Raw genomic sequence first — 27503 nt, forward strand, 5'->3', positions numbered from 1 at the left:
TCTAAAAGGCTCCTTTTCATAATAACATCACACATATTGAGTACTTCTACTATATTTTCCATTGTGAGAGTACTAGAATAAATGTGAACCTGCTACTTCAGGCTTGCAACCTGATTTATGAATTTAAAAATTATAATTACTACTTTAAGCATTAACTATAGTACATTTATTTCTCTGAAAGACAGAAAATGAGAAAGAAATGTGAGAGGGCAATTATCTCCAGCTTGAATCCTAAGATACTTAAATCATCTCGTTTCCTTTGCATTAAATATTTATATTGATTTCTTAATACTGTAAGGGAGACTTAACTCTATTTATATATAAATGACTGGAAGAACATGTTTATACTTTGAACTGAACTAGATTATTAAGAAATAGGCACTTGATATTGTATAAAGAAGTATTTTGTTACTTTAATGTAGTCCATAAATTATAATTGAGCATATGAAAACAAAACACATTTACTCATTACAAACAGGGAAATTTACTCTGAACCAAATTTTTGCCATTTTAAGTTTAAGCCAATCATCATTTTAAGAGGGATTCTCCTAAAACATTTTCTTGCTCTTTTAAAAAATCATTTAAATATATGTTTTTAGAGTTAGCTTTGAACTCCATTTATTTTTCTGGATCTCATTTTTCTTTCCTTTTCTGGACAGAAACTTACATTTATCACCTTTTTTTTCTTAATGAACTTAATACATCTTTCTTCGTTAAACATGCTCAGTTCTCCTCCAAATTAAAAATAAATCATTTTTTTGGTAGCTGGCAAGATGGCCGAATAGGAACAGCTTCAGTTTGTAGCTCCCAGTGAGATTAATGCAGAAGGTGGGTGATTTCTGCCTTTCCAACTGAGGTACCCAGCTCATCTCATTGGGACTGGTTAGACAGTGGATGCAGCCCATGGAGGGTGAGCCAAAGCAGGGTGGGGTGTCACCTCAACCTGGAAGTGCAAGGGGTTGGGAAACTCCCTCCCCTAGCCAAGGGAAGCCCTGAGGGACTGTGCCGTGAGGAACAGTGCATTCCAGCCCAGATACTATGCTTTCCCCACAGTCTTTGCAACCTGCAGACCAGGAGATTCCCTCGGGGGCCTACACCACCAGGGCCCTGGGTTTCAAGCACAACACTGGGTGGCTGTTTGGGCAGACACCGAGTTAGGTGGAGGAGTTTTTTTTATACCCCAGTGGCGCCTGGAATGCCAGCGAGAGAGAACCATTCACTCCCCTAGAAAGGGGGCTGAAGTCAGGGAGCCAAGTGGTCTAGCTCAGCGGTTCCCACCTGCCACGGAGCCCAGCAAGCTAAGATACACTGGATTGAAATTCTCGCTGCCAGCACAGCAGTCTGAAGTTGACGTGGGACTCTCGAGCTTGATGCAGGGAGGGGCGTCCACCATTACTGAGGCTTGAGTAGGTGATTTTCCCCTCCCAGTGTAAACAAAGCTGGTTGGAAGTTGAAACTGGGCAGAGCCCACCACAGCTCCACAAAGCTTCTGTAGCCAGATTGCCTCTCTAGATTCCTCCTCTCTGGGCAGGGCATCTCTGAAAGAAAGGGAGAAGCCCCATTCAGGGGCTTATAGATAAAACTCCCATTTCCCTGGAACAGAGCACCTGGGGGAAGGGGCGGCTGTGGGCACAGCTTCAGGAAACTTATATATTCCTACCTGCCGGCTCTGAAGAGAGCAGTGGATCTCCCAGCACAGCACTTGAGCTCTGCTATGGGACAGATGATGCCTCCTCAAGTGGGTCCCTGACCCCCGTGCCTCCTGACAGGGAGACACCTCCTAGCAGGGGTCGGCAGACACCTCATACAGGAGAGCTCCAGCGGGCATCAGGTGGATGCCCCTCTGGGACAAAGCTTCCCGAGGAAGGAGCAGGCAGCAATCTTCGCTGTTCTGCAGTCTCCACTGGTGATACCCAGGCAAACAGGATCTGGAGTGGACCTCCAGCAAACTCCAGCAGACCTGCAGCAGAGGGGCCTGACTATTAGAAGGAAAACTAACAATCAGAAAGGAATAGCATCAACATCAACAAAAAGGACATCCACACAAAAACCCCATCCGAAGATCACCAACATCAAAGACCAAAGGTAGATAAATCCAGGAAGATGAGGAAAAACAGTGCAAAAAGGCTGAAAATTCCAAACACCACAAAACCTCTTCTCCTTTAAAGGATCACAACTCCTTGCCAGCAAAGGAACAAAACTGGAAGGAGAATGAGTTTGACGAATTGACAGAAGTAGGCTTCAGAAGGTGGGTAATAACAAACTTCTCTGAGCTAAAGGAGCATGTTCTAACCCAATACAAGGAAGCTAAGAACATTGAAAGAAGGTTAGACAAATTGCTAACTGATTAACCAGTTTAGAGAAGAACATAAATGACCTGATGGAGCTGAAAAAGACACCATGAGAACTTCGTGAAGCATACACAAGTATCAATAGCCGAATCAATCAAGCGGAAGAAAGGATATCAGAGATTGAAGATCAGCTTAATCAAATAAAGCGTGAAGACAAGATTAGAGAAAAAAGAATGAAAAGAAATGAACAAAGCCTCCAAGAAATATGGGGCTATGTGAAAAGACCAAACCTATGTTTGATTGGTGTACCTGAAAGTGACAGGGAGAATGGAACCAAATTGGAAAACACTCTTCAGGATGTTATCCAGGAGAACGTCCCCAACCTAACAAGACAGGCCAACATTCAAATTTAGGAAATACAGAGAACACTACAAAGATACTCCTCAAGAAGAACAACCCCAAGACACATAATTGTCAGATTCACCAAGGTTGAAATGAAGGAAAACGTGTTAAGGGCAGCGAAAGAGAAAGATCGGTTACCCACAAATGGAAGCCCATCAGACTAACGGCGGATCACTCTGTAGAAACCCTACAAGCCAGAAGAGAGTGAGGGTCAATATTCAATATTCTTAAAGAATTTTCAACCCAGAATTTCATATCCAGCCGAACTAAGCTTCATAAGCAAAAGAGAAATAAAATTCTTTACAGACAAACAAATGCTGAGAGATTTTGTCACCACCAGGCCTGCCTTACAAGAGCTCCTGAAGGGAGCACTAAATATGGAAAGGAAAAACTGGTACCAGCCACTGCAAAAACATACCAAATTGTAAAGACCATCAACACTATGAGGAAACTGCATCAACTAATGGGCAAAATAACCAGCTAGCATCATAATGACAGGATCAAATTCACACACAACAATTTTAACCTTAAATGTAAATGGGCTAAATGCCCCAATTAAAAGACACAGACTGAGAAGTTGGATAGAGTCAAGACTCATCAGTGTGTTATATTCAGGAGACCCACCTCACATGCAAAGACACACTAGGCTCAAAATAAAGGGATGGAAATTTACCGAGCTAATGGAAAGCAAAAAAGAGCAGGAATTTAAATCCTAGTCTCCAATAAAACAGACTTTAAACCAACAAAGGTCAAAAAAGACAAAGAAAGGCATTACATAATGGTAAAGAGATCAATGCAAGAAGAAGAGCTAACTATCATAAGTATATATGCACCCAGTACAGGAGCACAGAGATTTATAAAGCAAATTCTTAGAGACCTACAAAGAGACTTAGACTCCCACACAATAGTAGTGGGAGACTTTAACACCCCACTGTCAATATTAGACAGCTCAACAAGATAGAAAATTAACAAGGATATTCAGGACTTGAACTCAGCTCTGGACCAAGCAGACCTAATAGACATCTACAGAACTCTCCACCCCAAATCAACACAATATACATTCTTCTCAGTACCACATTGCTCTTATTCGAAAATTGGCCATATAATTGGAAGCAAGACACTCCTCAGCAAATGCAAAATAACAGAAATCATAACAAACAGTCTCTGAGACCACAGTGCAATCAAATTAGAACTCAGGATTAAGAAACTCACTCAAAACTGCACAACTACATGGAAACTGAACAACCTGCTCCTGAATGACTACTGGGTAAATAATGAAATTAAGGCAGAAATAGATAAGCTTTTTGAAACCAATGAGAACAAAGACACAATGTACCAGAATTTCTGGGACACAGCTAAAGCAGTGTTTAGAGGGAAATTTGTAGTGCTAAATGCCCACAGGAGGAAGCAAGAAAGATCTAAAATTGCCACAATTAAAAGAACTAGAGAAGCAAGAGCAAACAAATTCAAAAGCTAGCAGAAGATAAGAAATAACTAAGATCAGAGCAGAACTGAAGGATATAGAGACACAAAAACCCTTCAAAAAATCAATGAATCCAGGAGCTGGCTTTTTGAAAAGATTAACAAAATAGATAGACTGCTAGCCAGGTTAATAAAGAGGAAAAAAGAGAAGAATCAAATAGACACAATAAAAAATGACAAAGGGGATATCACCACTGATCCCACAAAAATACAAACTACCATCAGAAAATACTATAAACACCTCTATGCAAATAAACTAGAAAATCTAGAAGAAATGGATAAATTCCTGGACATATACGCCCTCCCAGGACTAAACCAGGAAAAAAAAGAGTCCCTGATTAGAACAGTAATAAGTTCTAAAATTGAGGCAGTAATTAGCAGCCTACCAACCAAAAAAAGCACAAGATCAGATAGATTCATAGCCAAATTCTACCAGAGGTACAAAGAGGAGCTGGTACCATTCCTTCTGAAACTATTCCAAACAACAGAAAAAGAGGGACTCCTCCCTAACTCATTTTATGAGGCCAGCATTATCCTGATTCAAAAACCTGGCAGAGACACAACAACGACAACAAAATTTCAGGCCAATATCCCTGATGAACATCGATGCAAAAATCCTCAATAAAATATTGGCAAACTGAATCCAGCAGCACATCAAAAAGCTTATCCACCACAATCAAGTAGGCTTCATCCCTGGGATGCAAGGCTGGTTCAACATATGCAAATCAATAAATGTAATCCATCACATAAACAGAACCGATGACAAAAACCACATGATTAACTCAATAGATGCAGAAAAGTCCTTTGATAAAATTCAACACCACTTCATGCTAAAAACTCTCAATAAACTAGGTATTGATGGAATGTATCTCAAAATAATAAGAACTATTTATGACAAACCCACGGCCAATATCATACTGAATGGGCAAAAGCTGGAAGCTTTCCCTTTGAAAACTGGCACAAGACAAGGATGCCCTCTCTCACCACTCCTATTCAACATAGTATTGGAAATTCTGGCCAGGACAATCAGGTAAGAGAAAGAAAGAAAGGGCATTCTAATAGGAAGAAAGAAAGTTATATTGTCTCTGTTTGCAGATGACATGATTGTACATTTAGAAAACCCCATCATCTCAGCCTAAAATCTCCTTAAGCTGATAAGCAACTTCAGCCAAGTATCAGGATACAAAATCAATGTGCAAAAATCACAAGCATTCCCATACACCAATAACAGATAAACAGAGAGCCAAATCATGAGTGAACTCCCACTCACAATTACTACAAAGATAATAAAATACCTACGAATACAACTTACAAGGGGTATGAAGGACCTCTTCAAGGAGAACTACAAACCACTGCTAAAGGAAATAAGAAAGGGCACAAACAAATGGAAAAATATTCCATGCTCATGCATAGGAAGAATCAATATCGTGAAAATGGCCATACTGCCCAAGGTAATTTATAGACGCAATGCTATCCCCATCAAACTACCACTGACTTTCTTCACAGAATTAGAAACAACTACTTTAAATGTCATATGGAACCAAAAAAGAGCCTGTATAGCCAAGAGGATCTGAAGCAAAAAGAACAAAGCTGGAGGCATCATGCTACCTGACTTCAAACTATACTACAAGGCTACAGTAACAAAAACAGCATGGCACTGGTACCAAAACAGATATATAGACCAATGGAACAGAACAGAAACCTCAGAAATAACACCACACATCTATAACCATCTGATCTTTGACAAACCTGACAAAAACAAGCAATGGGGAAAGGATTCCCTATTAGTAAATGGTGTTGGGAAAATTGGCTAGCCATATGCAGAAAACTGAAACTGGATCCCTTCCTTAGCCTTATACAAAAACTAACTCAAGATGGATTAAAGACTTAAATGTAAGACCTAAAACCATAAAAACCCTAGAAGAAAACCTAGGTAACACCATTCAGGACATATGCACAGGCAAAGACTTCATGACTAAAACACCAAAAGCAATGGCAACAAAAGCCAAAATTGACAAATGGGATCTAATTAAACTAAAGAGCTTTTGCACAGCAAAAGAAACTATCATCAGAGTGAACAGGCCACCTACAGAATCGGAGAAAAATTTTGTAATCCATCCATCTGATAAAGGGCTAATATCCAGAATCTACAAGGAACTTAAACAAATTTACAAGAAAAAAACAGCCCCATCAAAAAGTGGGCAAAGGATATGAACAGACACTTCTCAAAAGAAGTCATTTATGCAGCCAACAAACATATGAAAAAAACCTCATCATCACTGGTCATTAGAGAAATGCAAATCAAAACAACAAGATACTATCTCACGCCAGTTAGAATGGCAATCATTAAAAAGTCAGGAAACAACAGATGCTGGAGAGGATGTGGAGAAATAGGAATGCTTTTACACTGTTGGGAGTGTAAATTACTTCAACTATTGTGGAAGACAGTGTGGTGATTCCTCAAGGTCTAGAACCAGAAATACCATTTGACCCAGCAATCCCATTACTGGGTATATACCCAAAGGATTATAAAGCATTCTACTATAAAGACACATACACACGTATGTTTATTGTAGCACTGTTCATAATACCAAGACTTGGAACCAACCCAAATGCCCATCAGTGACAGACTGGATAAAGAAAATGTGGCACATATACACCATGGAATACTATGCAGCCATAAAAAGGATGAGTTCATGTCCATTGCAGGGACATGGATGAAGCTGGAAACCATAATTTTCAGCAAACTAACACAGGAACAGAAAACCAAACACCACATGTTCTCACTCATAAGTGGGAGTTGAACAATGAGAACACATGGACACAGGGAGGGTAATGTCACACACTGGGGCCTGTCAGGGGGTGCAGGGGCTAGGGGAGGAATAGCATTAGGAGAAATACCTAATGTAGATGACGGGTTGATGGGTACAGCAAACCACCATGGCATGTGTATACCTATGTAACAAACCTGCCAGTTCTACACATGTATCCCAAAACTTAAAGTATAATAATAAAAATATAATAAAATAAAAGCACCAAAACCCATTTTTTTCTTGATGACTCTACGTTTTATGGTGAAAAGCCTAATCTTTTTATCTTTCTGGATGATCTAAATTTCTATGTTTTATCAGTTTGCTCATTTACATCACTTCCTTCATTTGTTCGTTTTATTCCTTCAAAATAAATATGCACTGAATTTCAGTCAGTCCTTGCTCCTTTCCTTCACTGAGTTTCCATTGCCCTCTTTAATTCACTTGTGTTGTTTGTGTTTTGTATATGTGTTTGTTTGTTTGTATATGTGTTTTGTTTAACCTTCTAATTAAAAGCTCTTTGAGGATAGTGTCTCTGCTTTGTGTATTTTTACGTCTTCTGAATATCTAATCAATTGCTTGGACAAGTCTCTTCAGTGAAGCACAGAATATATACAAGTCATTAATTTCTAGAACTTCTATTTTAACAGGCAGGGATAGAAAAGGAATTAAAGTAACATAAACAAATTGAACAGAGACGCAGAGGTGGGAAGCCATGATTTGTAGGTTTGCAGCCTCAAGAATCCACTTTTGCAAGACTGAAGGAACTGGAAAGAGGCTAAAAAAGGGAGAAAAACTGGGAGTAGCATGTGGTGAACTATTATTATGGCTGAAGTTAAAGTTTGCCCAGCAAATTGTTTCACCTTTCTTCTTTTGGTAAGCACCCTAGGCTTTTCCTACATTGGCCTTTACTGTATGTGTAAATCTTGTTGTGCTACCTTACCTCATACAGGGGTATATGATGTGTCCTGCACTTGGTCAATAAAATTAACCCCATCTTCAGTCACAGAAAGGAAAGTGTGACCCAAGCAAAATCATTTTAAGTCCTCCATAGGATTTCTTTTCTGTAGTTAACAAGGTAATTTTCCCTGGGGATGTTGCCCTGAAGAGTATGTCTGGAATTGCTGACAGGCGTCCTGCCCCAAAGGTGAAGAGAGGCTTCCTGAAAATAAAGGCAAGCCAAGGAATGAAGAAAATGAAAGGAGAAAAACTTAAGGACCTCAGTTAAGGCTCTGAATACAATCAGGGTGAGAGCTAAATGCACCTTCAACTTCTCAGTTAGGTAACTGAGTTTGGGAGTTTGCTTTTTTCACTTAATTGGGCCTGAGCTGAGTTTCTATCACTTTCATTATAAAGAGGATGGGTGATGTTGAAAGATGTCTGTATTTTTAACAATGAAATGGAAGATCATCGAACATTTAAAAAAAAGTAGTAATGCACTATTCAACTTCTTTTTGTTGTTGTTGTTGCTACATAGTTCAGACACCCTTTCATCTCTTTTGTGTACTATTGCAATAATTTCATAACTAGCTTCCCTGCCTTTAGTTTTGCCTCTCCTTCCTTATTTCACTCCCCATGTTGCTACAGACAGACTTTTCTAAAAAGCAAATACGATCACACAATTTCCTTGCTTAAAGCTCCCCACTGACTCTGCTTGAAGGGTCAGGTCCAAACTTAATTGTCTGACACACAAGTCCCCTCATTATCTCACCCTGGTTACATACAAGCTCATTTATTTCCCCTCACCTACTTACCTCTCCATGCTCTAGCTAAATTGAGCTGCTTACCTTTAAGAACACATTTTGTTCTCTAGTGAGCTCATGTCTTTAAATATGTTAGTCTTCTGCTTAGAATATCCTTCCCTAGGAAGTCCTTTTGTATTATGAATGAGGGTATCATAAGGTCTAGGTAGGATGCTACCTCAGAGATACTGTAACTTCAAGTTGGAAGAGACCATGTCTCATAGTTCTTTTCATTCTTCAATAATGCAGTAAAAGGTACAGTTGGCACTCAAAGGATTGATGAGTGAAAACTCATTTACTGAATTACATTTTCTCAGGAAGGTACTTAATTCTGTATGTAAATACAGAAATACAAACTTCCAGGACTTAAATGTGATTGACATGAGAGAATGTAGTGTAAATAAACTTTACCAGCATACATACACACAAAACACAATCTTAGCTTTCTTAAGAGCTATATACATAGGTACATCGTAAATGTGATTTTAGGCTTAATAACTGCTTCTATAAATTTCAAGTTCTTAAATAATTACCAAAAATGTACTTTAGAACCTAAAACACACACACACACACACACACACACACACAAACACACACAACCCTAGATACACAGTTGAAAGTACTAAAACTCTGGGAAATGAGCAAATGTGCAACCTGTCATGTAATAAAGTACCATTGGCTCTTAAATGAGCAAAGTATCTTTGAAAATATGGCACAATTGCTTTATGAAAACATTTGGGGCTAATATATGCTCATTCTAAAAATTATCTCAAAAAAGTGGGGTCCATGTCCTGTAAGTATAGCTTTAATGTATTTTATGTAAGACATTCATTTAAAAAATTGTTTTTCAAGGATATCTGAGAAAATTCTTGTGCCTGTATGCTCAATTTTTAGCTAAAGTTAGAGATAGTCTATAATCGTGCCCTGGAAATTTATTATTGAGTCAATTTGGCTTCACACATTAACTGAACTACTTTTAGAGTACCAAAATGAGTCAGGCATACTGTTAGGTATACAGCATACAGCAGTAAACAAAACAAATTAAATTAAGTCCCTGATCTCATGGCACTTATCTTCTGGTGGGTAAAAAAAAGCTGGCAAGCAAACAAATAAATATAATCAGATTATAATAAGTATGTTCAAGCAAATTCAAGAATTTAAGAAGGCAGAGAGTGAACAGGGAGGAGAATGCTATTTTAGATAACAGAGTCAGCGGAGATTTTTAAAAATTATTTATTTAGAGATGGGGTCTTGCTATGTTCCCAAGGCTAGCCCTGAACTCATAGGCTCAGACCATCCTCCCACCTCAGTTTCCTAAGTAGCTGACTACAGGAGTATGCCACCGTGCCTGGCAATATTTCTTTGAAGGTAACACTTGAGCAGAGACCTATACGAATGAGGGAGGGAGCCTATAGCTATCAGGAGGAAGAGAGGTCTGGGGAGAAGGAATGGATATGTACAAGTTCCTGAGTGAGAGATTATTTTATATCTTATAAACAAGATATCAAACGATCCAGAAATAATGACGACACAAGATAGGCTGTGCTATTGCATTATGGGACGTGCAAATTAGTCAGAGAAGAAGGGAAAATGAAAATAATTTCTGGCTCAGGGGATCTTTAAGATAACATTTTTGGTAGTTTTCCAATAGGTAGAGATGGTGATTTGGATAGTCCAAAATAAAGATGTGTGGGATTGAGAGCCTGTTGAGCTTTGGTTCCTAGGATAAGAAGTTTGTATTTCACATGACAGAAAATACAGATTTATTAAAGGGTTTCAGAAACGGGGTTTGACTTTTTCAGGGCTAGATAAAAACAGGATGGATTTAGCCAAGCTGCACAGACCATATGTGCTAGAGGGATGGTGTGTGAATAGACTAGAGCTGGAGACCATGTGGATTCTGGTTAACTGGATATTATGTTAGTGACCCTAGAAGTCAGATTCCGTCTTGTTAGTATTAATAATATCTATATATTTTGTCCAGGTTATAATAAGACATTACCAGGAAGCTGTGCAGGGGGTCCACTTGGCAATGCTACAACTCAAAGACTATTTGGCTCTGTTTTTTCTTTTAGAACAGAAATATGAGCCGTCATTGCCCTATAAACTCTTTCTCAGTATATTATTTATATTTAACCAATTTTAAGTAAAGTACATCTAATTTATAAGGAAACTTGCAAAATAATTTCATCTAAGCATCACATTTTATTAATATTTGTTCTTCCTAAATGCCTTGGGAAAGAAAAACTATGTGCTAATCTCCTGCTGTGGGTCTTTGGGATTTTCCAAAGAATGAGTAATATTCCTGCTTTTTCTTTAAGATAACATGCTATTTAAGTTTCCTTATAGAAATAATTACTAAAGAAAAACATCTAGACAGGCGCGGTGGCTCACGCCTGTAATCCCAGCACTTTGGGAGGCCGAAACGGGTGGATCACGAGGTCAGGAGATCAAGACCATCCTGGCTAACACGGTGAAACCCCATCTCTACTAAAAATACAAAAAAATTAGCCGGGCATGGTGGCGGGCGCCTGTAGTCCCAGCTACTTGGGAGGCTGAGGCAGGAGAATGGCATGAACCCGGGAGGTGGAGCTTGCAGTGAGCTGAGATCGGGCCACTGCACTTCAGCCTGGGTGACAGAGCGAGACTCCATCTCAAAAAAAAAAAAAAAAAAGAAAAGAAAGAAAAACATTTTTCCACTTAACGACCTCTGGACTGAAAGCACGCTGAGTCTACACCCTATTGAGGTGTCTGAGGTACAATTTGCTATTTACACTCAAGCCTAGCTTTCTTTTCCAATATTTTCATTTTCATTCCTGGGAAAAACAAATTTTAACATAACAATGATTAGGTAATAGATTCATGCTTATAAAGTTGATTTCTCTACTTCTCTAGTGATTTTTCCTTATTCTCACTCATAGATTTGTTTTCATACTAAGATTCTTTCGAGAAAACATTTTCAGAAAATGCTAATACTCTGCCTATTTGCTACATTGAAGTCTCCTTCCAAATTTACAAAGGAGCAGACATGTGTAGGCAAGCTTTGTAGGGTTTTTATTTGTGTTTGACTTTCCAGAGTTCCAGTACTCATTTCAAACAATTCTTGACATGGTAAAAGGCAGTACACACAAGCACAGTTAATGTCACAACCTAGAAGGCCACATGATTTTCAATGTAAGTTGGATCAAATCTTCTATATTTTACTGATGTCTTTATCACTTATTCATGTGTTTAATGTCTTTTTTATGTCATCATTCACATTTAATATGTTTAGTCTAATATTAAAGTTAATTAATAGAAGACAAATATACCATAAGAAAAACAAAAGGCAAGGCCAGGCACTGTGGCTTACACCTATAATCCCAACACTTTGGGAGGTCGAAGTGGGAGAATCACCTGAGGTCGGGAATTCGAGACCAGCCTGACCAACATGGAGAAACTCCGTCTCTACTGAAAATACAAAATTAGTCAGACATGGTGGTGCATACCTGTCATCCCAGCTAATCGGGAGGCTGAGGCAGGAGAATCACCTGAACCTGGGAGGTGGAGGTTGCGGTGAGTTGAGATTGTGCCATTGCACTCCTCCAGCCTGGGCAACAAGAGTGAAACTCTGTCTCAAAAAAAAAAAAAAAAAAAAAAGATAAAGATAAAAGAAAAAAAAAGGCAGGAAGGACCTAGGAATCACTCTAAAATCACTAATGACTTTCTGGTTACAGATACCATATATTGCCAACAAATGTCTTTATCAGTTTTTAACACTAATCTAATATCCATACAAACACACGCATGTGTGTTGGTGTTTGAATCAGAAAACATATCATGAAGATACTAAAAATAGAAACATTGAAGAATTACATAATTTGTGTGCCAAGTGCTTTACATGCATTATTTTGGATAATCCTTACAACAATTCTACAAGGTAGGGAGCATAATTATCTCCATCTTGCAGTGGTGAAATTCGAAGTTTAAGGAGATTAAGTGACATGCACCGGGCAATAACAATTTGTCAATCCAGGATTCAAACTCAGGCAATCTGATTCGAGAGTCCCAGCCCTTAACTACATACCAACAAAAGAAAAAGTAAAAAACAAAACTTCTTGCTATGTAATTGCTTTTGAGATCAAATGGTAGGGGATGGGTTTATTTCCTTAAGAGGGTTTGATTGGTATAGTGGGAAAAAAATGAGCAAGGAGGTTTGGCTCATTCGTCTGTATTTACAGATTGTGATAAATGCTGTTTGTGTAACAATTCATTTTGTTAAAATGCTTAGGCTTTTTGTAAAACTAACTCACAGGAATGAGGTAATAATGGCCAACTGATAAAGTGTAGCCATGAAAATAATGAAAAGAACCCACAATAGAACCTATTTAAAATTAATCTCGTACTATAAATACCAAATATTGGAAGTGAAAAATGCTTAGTTATTACCATTAGGATTCTGATATTAACCTCAGCAAATATAGTTAGGAAGTGGTGCCCACAGCCTTGGGATACAAGAGAGTATATAAAACATTATGTTATGTAAATTATAATGGAGAACTTTATAGAATCATCCTTATTTCTTTTTTATTCTTCGCTTGTCAAAATCATATCCTATATCAAGTTAGGTTAACGATGTAATCTCATGAAAATTAACAGGACCCATTTAGGTACTTTCACAAATATTGAAATAGATACTTATTTCTCAACTTTCTTAGGAAATTCCAGACAAATTTCAAAGGGTTTAGGTTGTCAAATTAGACAAACTTGTGCAAGTTGGGCATGGTACACCTGTTACCAAGAATCAGATGCATGTTTTAGTAGAAAGAAACTTCACTTTCTTGGGAGCATTACCGAAATCTGCTGGATTTGTCAACATATAGCCTAAAATTTACTTTTAAAAAAAGAAAAACATGACAAGATAGACTGGATTCTAAAACGACATCAAGACAATGTGGTACTGAATTTCCTCTAAGCCAAAGGAACATGTCATATTTAAGACTGTTTTTTTAAAAATCAGAGCGGAAATGGTAGAACCTTGGTTTCTTACTTACTGTTATTAATTAATGAGTGAGTGATAGGGGCCATTGCAGTGTAAATGTTAAAGTTCCTTTCTTTTACTTGAATTGTGGAGATTAAAGCATACATGAGATTGAGAAATATGAAGCAAGCTCTTAAATGGTGAGAAAAAACATATCTCTAGTTCACGTGTCACTTCTAGCGATTTTTCTACTGCTAGGTTTTCCTTTTGGGGTTACGATTATTACAGGTGGCAATCAGTTAACTTAGTGGTTCTGTAGGCACCGCCCTATCTTCCAACTTACTTACATTTAAAAATTCACACAGAGAGGCTAGTGGGAAGCGGGTAGGTGTAAACAATGTGCTACAGTGAGTCACACCCGTCACAAAAGCCAACAATGATTAGCTGTGATTTTTTTAAAATCACCTATCCAGCGGCAGAAGCTGTGGGCACAGCCAGGAGGAAGAGGCCAAAGGCAGTGGCGTTGCGTTCACACTACTCGCACGGAACAGTCTACAGCCAACGAACGCTTCAATTCAGAGATTACTCTGCCTCTAGCTAGAGGAAGCAGAGGAAAGAGAGGGGAGTTTGGTGGCTAGAGATTTACCAAAAAGAGGGGGGCGGGGGAAAGAAGAGGCACAGTGGAAGGCTGTTGCCTCCAACTCCGCGCTCTCCGTCACCAAGACGAAAACGCCTGGAACCGGAGCACGATGACGCCGAGAAGACAGAAACTCAGAGCGTCCGACGCCTCGCGTCTGGGCGGTCGTGCCCGTTCACTCACACGCCGCTCTGAGTGGTTTGGCGAACCTCACACGTGACTCCCTGGGCCCTTCACCCCTCCTGCCGCCGCGGGCGCTGCGGAAGCTGCGGGCGGAGGACGCTCGGCTGCCGCGGGAGGAGTAAGGGAGGAGGGCGGAACTTGTAAAGGGAGGGGCCATCACCAGCACCAAGTCTGCCACCGCCGGACCCGCGCCCCCGAAGCCCACCCCCACCAAGATCGCGCCTCCGACCGGCGGGAGGGGCGCGCAGGGGAGGGGACGCTGTGCAATAAACCGGGCGGGGAGAGGGAGGCAGCGGAGGGAGTCCTGGCTCTGAGGGGGGCAGGATTGGGTCTGGAGGATGGTCTGGCTTGATTCAGACTCCTGCACCCGACAACGCCACGGAGTGAGGGGAGAGGGAGAGAGAGAAGGTGGCAGTGTGTGTGCGCGCGTGTACGTGTGTGTGTGCGTGTCTACAGGTAGCAGTGGCGGCGGCGGCGGCGGCGGCGGGGACCGGAGCAGGGGACGCATCTGCAGCCACCTCCCCGCCTATGATTTTCGGAGGCGATTGCTCACTTAGCTGAGGATCTGTAGCCCCGGGAGATCTTCTCATCCTCTCCATTTCCAAGCTTCATAGGTGTCTTCCAGTTTCAAGTGTGTGTTTTGGGTATTTTATTTTTAATTTTTTTCCTTCTCCCTCTAAATCTTCTCGGAAATTCTGCATATTGAAGCAGGTGGCTCCTGGTACGAAATCTCTGGATACATTTGGCTTGCCAAGTTTTGCTCTTCGCTGTCCCCTCCCGTTTACAGAAGCATCTGTGGTGCTTTTCATTTTGGATTTACATGCAGGAAACGTATATATGTTTATATACCGACCGCATAATATATAAATACATATACGCGTGCCCAAGGGCCTGGTTTTCGTCTCTCCTCCCCACGAAACGGAATGTTTTGGAGCCGATGGATAACAAGAACACTATTAACATTCTTTTGAGCCTGTTTTTTAAAAGGGGGAGGGAGCGTGAAGAATTGTTTAACATTTGGCCATCGTTTGGCTGCACACTAAGCACCACGAAGTATTTATGGTTGCAGATCAGGTGCAAACGGGGCTTAGAGAGAAAGGTAAGGGAGCTTCCTGCGTCCGCCGAGCTCCGGCGTTTACCTTAATCCCGGGGATTGCCGAGAACTTCCTATTCCCTGCCTCTCCTTCGCCTTCCCCACCTTCCACCCACCCTTCTCTGCTCTCTCTCTTCTGTAAACTCAACCCTTTTCCAATCCCATTGGGGTGGGGGTGGGGGGTGCTGGAGGTATAATCGTCTATTTGAGTTTAAATGCGTCTCTCTTTCCCAGGCTAGTAGCTGAGTTTTCCAATAGCCTTTCTGGCGGTTTTAGGAAATCGTGTCCTTTATAAAAAATAATGCTACCTAAATAAGTGTTTTAAACATCTGAAGATGCCAGTCCCTCACCCTATCCTCTGATGAAAATAAAAGCAATAAAAAATAATGAACTTTAATAAACTGGGTGGTTTTTTTTAAGCGTTGGGGTTCATGGAAGCTCCCAAACGCTTTTTTTCATTTAAAAAGAAAGATAACCAGCAAACAAACCAATCTCAGGAGGAGTCCACAGTGGAGGAGATTCGCCTTCCGTTTCTGCATAAAACCAATACATTTTACTTGGAGGGTAATTTGCCAGAGTTGAGCGAGACGAAGCCGTGTCTAAATAAGTACATGACACTAAATTTCCTTTTAAATCCACCTTTTACACCATGGCCAGTCGCTTGTTTAACTCCCGTTCAAGGGACACGGTTTTCAAACGTGACCTTTTGGGGAGATGTGGGAACTTCCCCTCATTTCTTCTTCTGTGCCGCTAACCTCTTTCCTCCTCCGCGCGGCATCTCCAGCCCCGGCAGTTTGTAAATTGCCCGTTTTGCCCACCCTCCTGGTGGGCGTTCTCTCCCCCACTCCACTCCTGCCCCCTCTGTCCTTTCTTCATTGGCGTCTTCGGAGCAGATGCATCTTCTTTCTTCTTGGCCTCACTCTCCCGTTCCCCCGTCAGTCCCCCCACCCGCGGCTCCCCACTTGCCCCAGCTCTCCTCGCCGCTCCTCCCCGCCTCCCCGCGGAGGGTTGACCCTTCAATTCGGAGTCCCGGCCTGTGGGCGGGCGGGGGAGCGCCGCGGCTGTAAGCCGAGGATCAGGCGGCGGCGCGGAGAGCGCGCCCGGGCGGCCAGCGCCGAGCGCGCGGAGCTGGCGTGGGGAGACACGGCAGGAAAGGCGAGTCGGAGTGGGTGATGAGAGGCCGGGAGAGCCCGTCCGAGCCGGAGAGACCGGAGAGAAGGGAGCGAGCGACTGTGCGGCGCTCACGCTGCCAGAGCCCGGGCGGAGTGCAGTCGCCTCCAAAGCCTTAGAGCGGCGCCCCAGTCACTGCAGCTCTTCACCCTAGAGCTGTGCCCTGGGACCACAGAGACCAAGAGCATGGAAATCGGCTGAGAGGTACAAAAGAAATAAGGAACAGATTACGAGAAAGCGGGGAGGGTTTCCTGGCGAAATACGGAGGCTGAGCAGATGGAGGAACAATGCCGCCTCCAGAAGAAAACCCTTGCCTGAACCCTCGGCGGAGCGCAGAGGAGCTGCTTTCAGCCTTCTGCTCTCCCCAGGCCCTCCGGCTAGTTCTGGGGTTGGTTCCGCCGGTTAGTTTGACAGGGATAAGAAAGTTGCTCTTCTTCCCCACAACGTTTCCTGAGAGGTGGTTTTCAGATCTGTGTGTTTCCAGTCAAGATGTCACTCCCTAGATCCCCCGCGTTGAGCAACTAATATATTATGCATTATTGGGCAATAAACTCTCCTGGGAAGAGAAGGTATTCCAAACATTTAAACCGTTCTCCACCGACTCCTGCCCGCCTCAACACAATGCCTTGTGAGTAGAAATGAAAAACCACCTGAATTTAAAATTATTTAGGTTGAGATTTTGCATTGGGAATAATTTCTTCCAGAGGAGGTTGTTAGTGTGTTATAGAGATGAGGGATATTACATGTCCAATATTTGATTCATTTGTGATAATTCTAAATCATGAACAGTTGGCCTCCACAAAGGTACTATTTCTTTTTGCATTTCCAGGGCCATAGTGATACATATAACACTTGGGAAACGTGAATTCGTATAGTTAACCCAGTATCTGTTACTCTGCATTTTTACAGGTAGTTAATATACTCATTTTCCCTCTTTTTATACTCAAACTCCGGTAGACTATTTTTGCTTAAGTCAATTGAGTTGTCATGCTGTACATGAAAATTACAGGGTCTTAATGCATTTCTCACCATTAATTGTGCTCAATTATTAATAGGATCATAGATATTAAAATGTCACTGAGAAAGGGTATGTGTACCTATGTTTGAGTGTAAAACCTATAAAATGTCTCAGCATTTCTATCAGCCATTGTAACCTAGCAGAACACAAGGTTTTTGAAATGAGCTCAGAAGCAAGGGCCATTCATATATTTAAAATATTAAATGTTAAATGCAAAAACATTAAATTTACTGTGCCTTTGGCAGAGAATGAATCTAAGTCTACTTGCACTGCAGAGTGATTGAGTGATTCACAGAGAAAGTGGAAGTTAATCATTACTCAGGCCTTCTGATTACATGGTTTGATTAAAAGAAGTAACTGTTTTCTGTAAGCCTGCTATTCTGCAGTTAGTCTTCCCAATCCTCTTAACATAAGCAGAAATTGAGGGAGTCAATCTTTCAGCAGATTCTACTAGAGTTCCAGTAGTGTGGAGTAAGAAAAGCTTCTTTAGTTCCCGTCCTTCCCATTGTCTCCCTTCTTCCACCCCCAAAGTACTTGCTGTCAATCTTTTCTTTATTCCCTCAGTATAGTTTTATTTTGTGAAATTTTCCACTTACATTTAGTAATAACATATTTTCAAATGTAAATGTTTGAATGGCTTTGAAGTTGAAGGTGAAATATACACTTAAAGAAGGTAGGCTGAGAACTCCATTGGTTTCATTTGCAGGGTGTTGGAAGGCCTGATGACCCTATGCATTCCTGGATGACTTTCTTGGATCACTCTCCAAAGTCTCTTCCAACTCTGAAATTCTTATATTTTATTCTGCTTTTACTATTTTCACATGGTTATCCAGTGCCAAGATCTACATATCCCTTCAAATTACATTAAACTAGCTGTTTCTGGTTTTCTTTATAGGATAATTAAGTAGCTAGAACTATAAAATACAGTTATAAATCTGAGATCTGAGTTTTTTATAAAATTTTTCACATACATTTTAATGCTATTGACAACTTTTTGTGAGACAATATTAATACAGATATAGCTTTGAGTGACGTATCTCTCTGGGTTTTCATGTATTGAAACAGTTTTTAACATAGTAATGGTTTATCTTGATAATTCTTTATTATTTTTACACAAAGGAGTTATTTCACAAATTACCTAACAAATACTAATTTGTAGTTTTTGTAAGCAAAACACAGTTAAAAGTAACAGTAGTATTAGAAACTGCAGCTGTGTAACATATACCTTTGCCACATTTTAAAGGCTTAGTTTTTGAAGTGAAGTTTGCAGTCGGTTTCCATCTTACTGGATTGTCAATAGGAAGATATGATTTTTCAGTTATGTTTTAATTATCTGTAAATGAAATCACCAAAGTCCAGTCTTCTAGACTTAATATTATTATTATTATTTCTGAAATATAGGTATGATCTTATTAACATTGGCCAGTGGCTCCTTATAGATTATTACATGCCAAAGTCCACAACCCTAATGCCACTCAATGCTTTTCACAATTCATTCTTAAACCTCCTTATGTAGATTAAAACACTGTCCTCCTGGCCCCCCTTCTGAATTCACTCTTTAGTCCATTCACAAGACTCTTAATTACTATTTTCCCCAACACTACATACCATTTTAGGATTTTGTGGTTTGCTTATGCTAATCTTTCTTCATTGATCCATTCCCTGCCCCTCTACCCCACCCCACCAAATATACACCAATGATAGGACAGAAAAACATTTTAGTTCCTTGGGTGGTCTTTCCTTCATCATGATGCTTCCTTCCTGTACCCTTACTCTGAGCTCCCACAACACAGTATTTATACTGGGAGTAGCCCACCTTTCACACTTCTAATGGTTGGCTTTCTCACTGCACAGTGAATTGCCAGAGATCAAAAGACATGCCTGATTTATCATGTCATTCGGAAATGATAGCTTACCTTTATGTCTGAACATAGAGTCTACCATAAATGAATAGTAAATGTATTATTTATAAATATATTTGGCTATGAAGTAACAGAAAACTTGGCTAACCGTGGATTAAGCAAATAAAGCTTTATTTATCTCACATAATAAAAAGTCAGGAGAAGAGAGTTGCTTAAGCATTTTATCAGGCTTCTTCTATTATCTCGAAACCTTTCTTCTCATGGGCACAAGGTCACTGATGTGCCTCCAAACTCGTGTCTGTCTTTGGGGCCCAAAATGGGGGAGAAGAAGATAACAGTATTCTACCTCAGGGTTTCTCAGCTTTGACACTGTTGTCATTGTGGGCTGGATAATTATTTGTCTTTGTTATGGGGGAGTGTACTGTACATTATAGGGATGTGTAGCATCATCCTTGGCCTCTATCCACCAGATGCTGGTAGTGCACCCCACCCCCACCTCATCATGACTATCCAAGTATCTCCAGACATTGCCAAATGTCTCTAAGAGGTCAGATTGTCCCAGGCTCAGAAGTTTTGCTCTGAGATCAGAAGGAAGGAAATTCTCTGTTTCCTACTCTTCCCTACCCCTGTTTTTTTTTGTTTTGTTTTGTTTTTTGTTTTTTTCCCTGCATTATGGTGGTGGCGAGGATCTTTTTGATTTTTTGCTTAATAAGTGGTAGAGGACACATGATAAGATTTAAAAAACAAATAAGAAGAAGGAAGAGGAGGGAAAGAGGCCAAACAAGGCTTCTCTGAGCATTGTGTCTTTTTTTATGGTGTGAACATTCTCCCCATAGACTTCCATTCTCGTATCACTGCCAGACTCTGTCAGCTGGCTACTTCTAGGTAACTGAGAGGTTGGAAGATAGATTTTTAGGGTGACATTTTACTACCCTCAACAAAATCAGAATCTACAAGAAAAGAAGGGGAAATGGATTTGGTTTTGAAAACTTAGTGTTTGCCGTGATGGCAGAGTGAATCAATACATAAAATTCGTCTAAATACTTCAGAAAGGAGAAAGAGTAAACACAAAATAAACATCCATCAAAGAGGGTCGATATAATTTTTCCACATGCTAAATGTTAATAAAGTAACCAGGATAATACTGTGATATTTTTCCTTTTGATGATATTTTACTTAGAAAATAAATGGGCAGAATGGAAACATATAGCGCTTCATAACATTTTTCTCTGCAGACGACATCCCTTCTCTTCCAGTCTATTGAATAAAGCAATAGACTTTGCTATTGATACTTACCAATTATTTAGTAATCATGTGAGAGATGTCAAAGGAAATAAAAATGCAGCTCTATTGTTTCAATATTTCTTTCTAATGCTTGTATTTAGAAAGATAACACATGCTAGTGAATGCAGTAGGTAAAATAATGGATTCTGGTACAGATGTGTTAGCATGGACTATAGTAACTTTAAGATGGGTTGCTTATCTACCTACCATCTACCTACCAATAAGTACTCTTGGATTCTATCATAGGAAATAATTCTGACTTACAAAGATATATTAACATTGCTATGGACGACCAATGATCTTGTCTGATTGATTGTAATCTTTTTTCTTCCTATTCTTGTTTATATTTTCTGTAAGTTCGTTGAATGCAAATTTTTGCTCAACTTTGTATAGAATATAGAAATATAAAAGATGGTGTCTGTTAGGAAGCTTTTGCCTGCAAGTAACAGAGTACCCAATTAAAGGCTTTAACAAAAAGTACATTCATTATCTCAGAACCAGATTCTGGAGGTGTGCTGATCCAGGGTTGACTAACTTAGGAGTTCAAGGATGTCATGGCTCTGGTACGACTTCACTGTAAATCTCTTGAGTCTTTATCTTGGAAACAAGATAAACAATATGATTATCACAGAGCCAAACATCACCTCTTCTCATAGCCCCACTCAAAGCAGAAATGAAAAAGCAGTCTTCTTCTCATGGATATATCTCTTTATCTAGAAGGAAACTTTTCACAGAAGATATCAGCAAACTTCCCTTTATGCCTGAATGACTAAAACTATGTCACATTTCACTCTTAACTTACAACTGTCAATGAGACAATGCGTTGTATGATTGTTTTTGATCATCATGGTCGGTCCCTTGAGGGCTGGGGAAGAGGTCTGTTTTCCTGTGGACTTGGCTGCTTCACACAAAAAATCAGAGCTCTGTTAACTGGGAAGAAGGAGGCAATAACTATCTAGGGCTCCTAACAGGGAGTTCCACAAACAAACTATCTGTCCTTCTCAGATCTCTTAAAATATGGAATGCCTATGTGAAAATTAAATTCATGAAAAAATAATTACATGGCCTTTGAATCCATGGAATAAATGGTGTATATGTCTGGCTGCATGCTTCTGATGTAGAATGCATACTTTCATGATGTTACAGAGTTTTTTTTTAAAATAGAAACTGAATAATTGGAAAATGTAGGAATGTGTACTGCGTAAAATTACAAATACTAAATTATACTATATTACATGTCTAAATTATAAACCTTGCTTTGTCATCGTATACCTATCTATATGATCATATAATGTAAACTATAGTTAAATCAGAGGATGTCCACCTTACCAAACAGATCACGTATCCTCATCTATGTTTGTCATATGATTTCACCATCATAATTCAGAGATAATATGAGAAATGACTGAACCCTTTGGCCAGTTACTCTCATAAAGAAGGACTTCATATATGCTTTGCACAAATAAAAATTACTTCTTTGTTTCTGATAACGGTTTATTTACTTGAGGGGCTCAAGGGAGGGATCTAATTTTCAGCTCACATACCAGTGAGCATCTCTCTCATTGAACATTATGACTCATTTTTGTAAACAAGGAAAGCTTTATTTTCATTCTTTTGCCTGACTTCATGGAAGCTCAGAGCCAATTTTGTGCTCAATTGAAAAAGATGTCCTTAATCATCTTCTTTTACTCTGCTTTATTATTTGGATTCATTTTTAAACTTTAACTTTGTTTAAATATTTGATTATTCTGGAGTTTTTTTAAATCGTAGCTGCTTCAAATTATTTTTTAGAACAAGAAATGATGTAATGAATACATGCACAAACAAATGAGTGCCATCGCGCATCACTCAATACGTGTCTTTTTTTTCCCTGAATGAATGTATGTTTGGAAATTAGACGATACTGTGTTCCGTAAACTGCTGAATTTGTGGCATGAGAGGAGCAATAGGTACAATATGGTGCAATAGGATTTCAGGGAAAAGAGATAGCAGTTGTGCTTGAGTTATTTTTATGGAGATACATATTGTAGTTTGCAGACAGGTGGGAAACTAAGGCAGTGTAGGTGAGATAAATTATAAATAAATTGAATTCATTATATTTATTTTGCTGTATGAGCAGATATAAATTGTGTCTCAACTTTTTTTCCCTCCAGTTTTAGAATTCTAATAACCTCATTGCAATAACTCTTTCTTCAGTATAAAGGATCCAAAACCACAATGTAAAGGAAACATAAACTAGGAAAAGAATGGGGTTGATATCTCTCTCTGTTTCAAAGCAACTTTTGTGATGGATGTTGGTGATCTTCTTGGCTTACCTTCAGTATGTTAGAATGTGCCTTCTGAGCATCTCATCATTCCATTGACAATGCTCTATTTTCAGGCTCCATGCCTAGAGCTGTTTACACCACAGCAACCACCTCTGAACTGGGCTCCTCGCCTCCAGGAGAATTGATTTTTGAATCAAGCTTAAAATGGTAATTAGTAACTCCATCTGTGTTTAGGGTCAGGAACAGATGCTTTTCCTTTTTGCTTTAATGGAAGATATATTTGAAGGTGGAAATATAGTGAAATAGAGTTTAAATAGATCTATATTGTGGTGGGCACTCCTGTGTCAGGTGATGACCATCATGGAAGTATGTTTTTGAGTATCTACCTGAACCCTCTTATCTGGACACAGTACAGATGATTAGAAGGTTTATTTCACAAATCCATTGTGAATTCATTATGGTTCATAGCAATGAGCCTAAGCTACTGCAAGTTCCTGAAACCTCTGCTAGGGAGTTAAATGTTTAATTATATTTAATAGACCGTATTTTATCAAAACCAAGGAGCACTGATTCTAGAACACTGCATTTTATTCACACTGTGGAAAGAACACCCCAGTATTAATTCCACAATCGTTCTCTACTACTTAGAATTTTTACTTTATATTTTTATAAAGGAGGATTTTTAGACAAATAGATATAGATTTTTAACATATATCCATCTTTTACATGAATAAAACATATATTAGCAAGATGCATTAGCTTAAGAATTTAAAAAAATTTATCCTATTCAGAACCTCTTCTGAATCATTTTTTGACTCATTCATAGCCATGTTTTTCCACAGAAAATAGTATGCATGTGTTGATGATGCACTGTTTTTGAAGGGCTCCGCGATTGTCTCCAGAATTTAATTCCAAGCAGCTGATACCTTCTGAATGATTTGATCCTGGTGTGTTGTTGATTTTACTAGAATGTGACAATGGAATGTTTTCAGACAACAACCAGAACTCATTTGCCTTCCTTAAATTGTCCTGAACTGTCAGGAGTGGTGGTTGTCTGGTCATGCTAAGAAGAATAAGAAGAATACCAACAATTTTCACATATATAGTCTATGGCTACTATGCCTCCACTACTGCTTGGCCATAAGAAATTATAAAATGCACCTTGATTTCAGATATGTTAAAGGTGTCAGAGTCAATGAAATATGGCAACTTTAATTATACATGATCCTCGTTTTTTAAACAAACTAATACCATAGCGATAACTAATTAACCAAACTAATAATCTCCAAATAGATAAGAGAAACTATTGCATAATTCTTAGAAAGTATGATTAAAATATAATCCTATCTCTTTTTTTCTCTATTTGCCCTCCAATTATGTAATATATAAAATATAGCTAGTCTTAAGAAAAGAAATAATAGTAGGATGAAAACAAATGAAGAGAACTAGACCAGGAACGAAGAGACCGATGTCTGGGGAGCAGACTCTTCTAGTAACTCTCTGTGTCATTTCTAGTGATCCCTTCACTCTAGGCTTTGGTTTTCGTTTTTCAAATGTATGTTTAGGCTAATTAAAATTAAACATGTTTCCTGGCTCTAAAATCTGTTTTGGGTAAAGATAATCAGAAATAAAGTCTGTAATAATATATTACACATTTAAGTTAGTATGATATAAATACATAATAGTGGAGGGATGTACTGTAAGCTGGTAAGCTTAAAATATATAACATGTATCATATAACTTTAAGATTTATTGTATCATATATAGCTTTAATATTTTACATGTTTTGGGAGACTTGTCCATACATATCTTACTTGTTCTTTAAAATAACTGTTAAGCAATGCAGAAGATTCAACAGAACAAAAGTAGGATTTAGGAACTCTTATCCTCAAATATACTGGATGAGAAAGATTACTAAATAAATCACAGCCAAATAGTGGATGTAAAAGTGGGAGGAGGCAAGAAGAAAATGCATTTTCCACCAAGAACAAAGAAAACTTATGCAAGGAATTAACTATCACTATATATATAAATGTTCTTCTTTAAAAGAATTATCAGTAAGAAGCAAGAGAAAATTGACAGGTAAAAATGAAGTTTCCCTTTTTTATTTTATCATTACTGAACCATATTTTATGATTCAGTATAAATTGGCGATGTACTATTTTATTTTATATGTATATTTATATACGAATATATCTATGAATCAAATATATATATGAATCACATATATATGAATAGATATATATATCAATATATATGAATATATATTCATATATATTGAATTCATATATATGTATTCATATATATATATAAATCAAAGGAAGAGAAGCCTATAGTTGGACCAGTCAGATGCTACTATTTGTGGATACATCTTGACCGTTCTTACCGTGCATTTCCACAGACAACAGCGTTTCTTCCCTGTATTGTATTTGAAAATTGCCACTGCTCTTAAGTGGTCAGAAAGCTGGGCACTTACTTTTTGATGAATAACAAGTTCTCCAGAGGTGTGCCACTCTCCTTTCTTTCGTTGTAGCTGTAGTCACCACAGAGAAAACACTGTGTTGCTTCTCACCTACCTGCTTTGCTTAAAAAGTGAGTTGATTTATGGAGCATGAAGAAAATCCTTCTTTTTTATTTTGGCTAGATATTCTTGAAGTTCTCTCATAATACAATTAAGATATCAAAAACATGATACAGTATTACTGAAGTAAGTAGGTTTCTATAAAATTATTAATTAAATTATTTTAATCCTCTAGTTGTGTCACTTTGTCCTTAAGAAAAATATTCAAGATACTAGGTTTCAAGATGGAGAGTACTATTTAATGGCTTAGAGTCTCAGATCATTAAATAGAGTTCAGAGATTATATTCATATTGTAATCACATCTTTATGACTAAATGCGTAGAATCACATTTTTTGACCTAAGGTGGTTTGTAAAACATATTGTACAAAGGAATCATTTATTTCTAAAAACTTTAATAAATTTTCAATGGTCTTTCCAGCTGAAAAGCTGAAAGGGCCATGGTGGGTTTTAGATAACATAGGCTCACTTCCTTAGTTTACATGTGACAAAACTGAAGTCCAGAGGAAAAAAATGATTTGCTTGTTTATGCAATGGTAGAGCTGGAACCTGATCTTCACATAATGCCTTCATGCATTAGTTTTATTTAAAGAGCAGTAATACATACATCGGCACCATATATTCTGTATATAAGTTACCATGATTACATAATTACTAGAATTTTAGAAGTATAGGTAATAATCACCAGAACTGATAAAAAAGGGGAGTCATATTTTTAGCAAAGTTAGTGGAGGAGGTATTATTTAAAGGAGATTAGGATATGAATAAATAGAGAAGAGGGAGCAAGCATTGCTTGCATAAAAGCAATAAAAATCAAGACTAAGACAGGCAGCAGGGGCAGTTGGCCATTCTAGATTCTTTCAAAAGTAAACACACACATACAACACATTGAGAAATATCATTGTAGAAAGCAAAGAAAAATGCTTATTGAAATCATACATCTTATTTAGCATTCAGTATTTTGGTTTAGGGCCTCTGCAGATTAGAAATAACAATTATACATTTATTTTGAATAAATAGTCCTCAGAAAAATTGGTTCATATTACTCATATCAGAAAGAGTTTGCGTCCACTAAAAATAAATTATTTAAAATGGAATGTATGATTTTCTGAGAATGTCTGTTTGTGACACTGGTTGATACAAAATCAAGCTGAGATTATTTGATTGCCTGTCATCAAATGAGAAGATTCTTCTTATCATTTTTGTTTTTTTTGAGACAGAGTCTCGCTCTGTTGCCCAGGCTGGAGTGCAGTGGCACAATCCTGCCTACATATGGTTCTCTAGCCCAAGCACTCTTTCCATAAGAAATACTAGAAACGTTCTGCCTCACACAATATGTCTTCTTTTCCATGCTCCTTTTCAACATGGTACTCCAAGCAGTCCCTCCAGATTTGATGATTGCAAGACAGAATGCCTATTTGCTTAAGGGAGAGAGAATCTAGTTGGTGCCAATCTGTCTTTTAATGCTCATTGGTCATACTCACCATCACTTAAAAATTTTTAACATTTTTAAGGTCTGAGGGGCAATTTCAAGAGAGATGTATTCTTCCGTTTCTACTAAATTCTATGTAAAATCAACACATCCCTCCTGACTCTCCTTGAAGTCACTCTCCATAAAAACAGCAGCTCATTCTGGGAGCCAGTGGCTAGAATAACCAGCACCTGGAGATTAGGGAGGGAATCTTTCAGAAGAGCATAAGCATGTTTTCTATAGAACTGCGT

At 38.7% G+C, this 27503-nt stretch overlaps 1 protein-coding gene across 26 annotated transcripts in view, besides 3 other annotated features; it reads left to right on the plus strand.

Annotated features, from left to right (window-relative positions):
* Positions 14509 to 14588: a silencer, noted in NCBI's record as "silent region_14900". NCBI's record gives its function as "represses an Ori minimal core promoter by ATAC-STARR-seq in GM12878 lymphoblastoid cells {active_cell/tissue: GM12878}" and the evidence as "EXISTENCE:reporter gene assay evidence [ECO:0000049][PMID:35858748]".
* Positions 14609 to 14698: a silencer, noted in NCBI's record as "silent region_14901". NCBI's record gives its function as "represses an Ori minimal core promoter by ATAC-STARR-seq in GM12878 lymphoblastoid cells {active_cell/tissue: GM12878}" and the evidence as "EXISTENCE:reporter gene assay evidence [ECO:0000049][PMID:35858748]".
* The window catches only part of NLGN1 (neuroligin 1), an 898421-nt gene continuing 885780 nt past the window's right edge, over positions 14863 to 27503 (plus strand). For 12 of the 26 annotated variants that reach the window (XM_047447708.1, XM_017005902.2, XM_047447707.1 and 9 more), the window contains exon 1: positions 16655 to 16974. The gene's annotated coding sequence lies outside the window, so the exon portion shown is untranslated. Of the gene's footprint in view, positions 15607 to 16654; positions 17399 to 27503 lie in introns of those variants that run through there. The other 14 variants (XM_017005893.2, XM_047447706.1, NM_001365924.2 and 11 more) reach the window with 3 other exon arrangements.
* Positions 14924 to 15423: an enhancer, noted in NCBI's record as "H3K4me1 hESC enhancer chr3:173113803-173114302 (GRCh37/hg19 assembly coordinates)". NCBI's record gives its function as "activates a minimal SCP1, AML or CMV promoter by ChIP-STARR-seq in naive H9 embryonic stem cells {active_cell/tissue: H9 hESC(naive)}" and the evidence as "EXISTENCE:reporter gene assay evidence [ECO:0000049][PMID:30033119]".

The sequence above is a fragment of the Homo sapiens genome, chromosome 3, assembly GCF_000001405.40.
Source record: "Homo sapiens chromosome 3, GRCh38.p14 Primary Assembly".
NCBI lineage: Eukaryota > Metazoa > Chordata > Mammalia > Primates > Hominidae > Homo > Homo sapiens.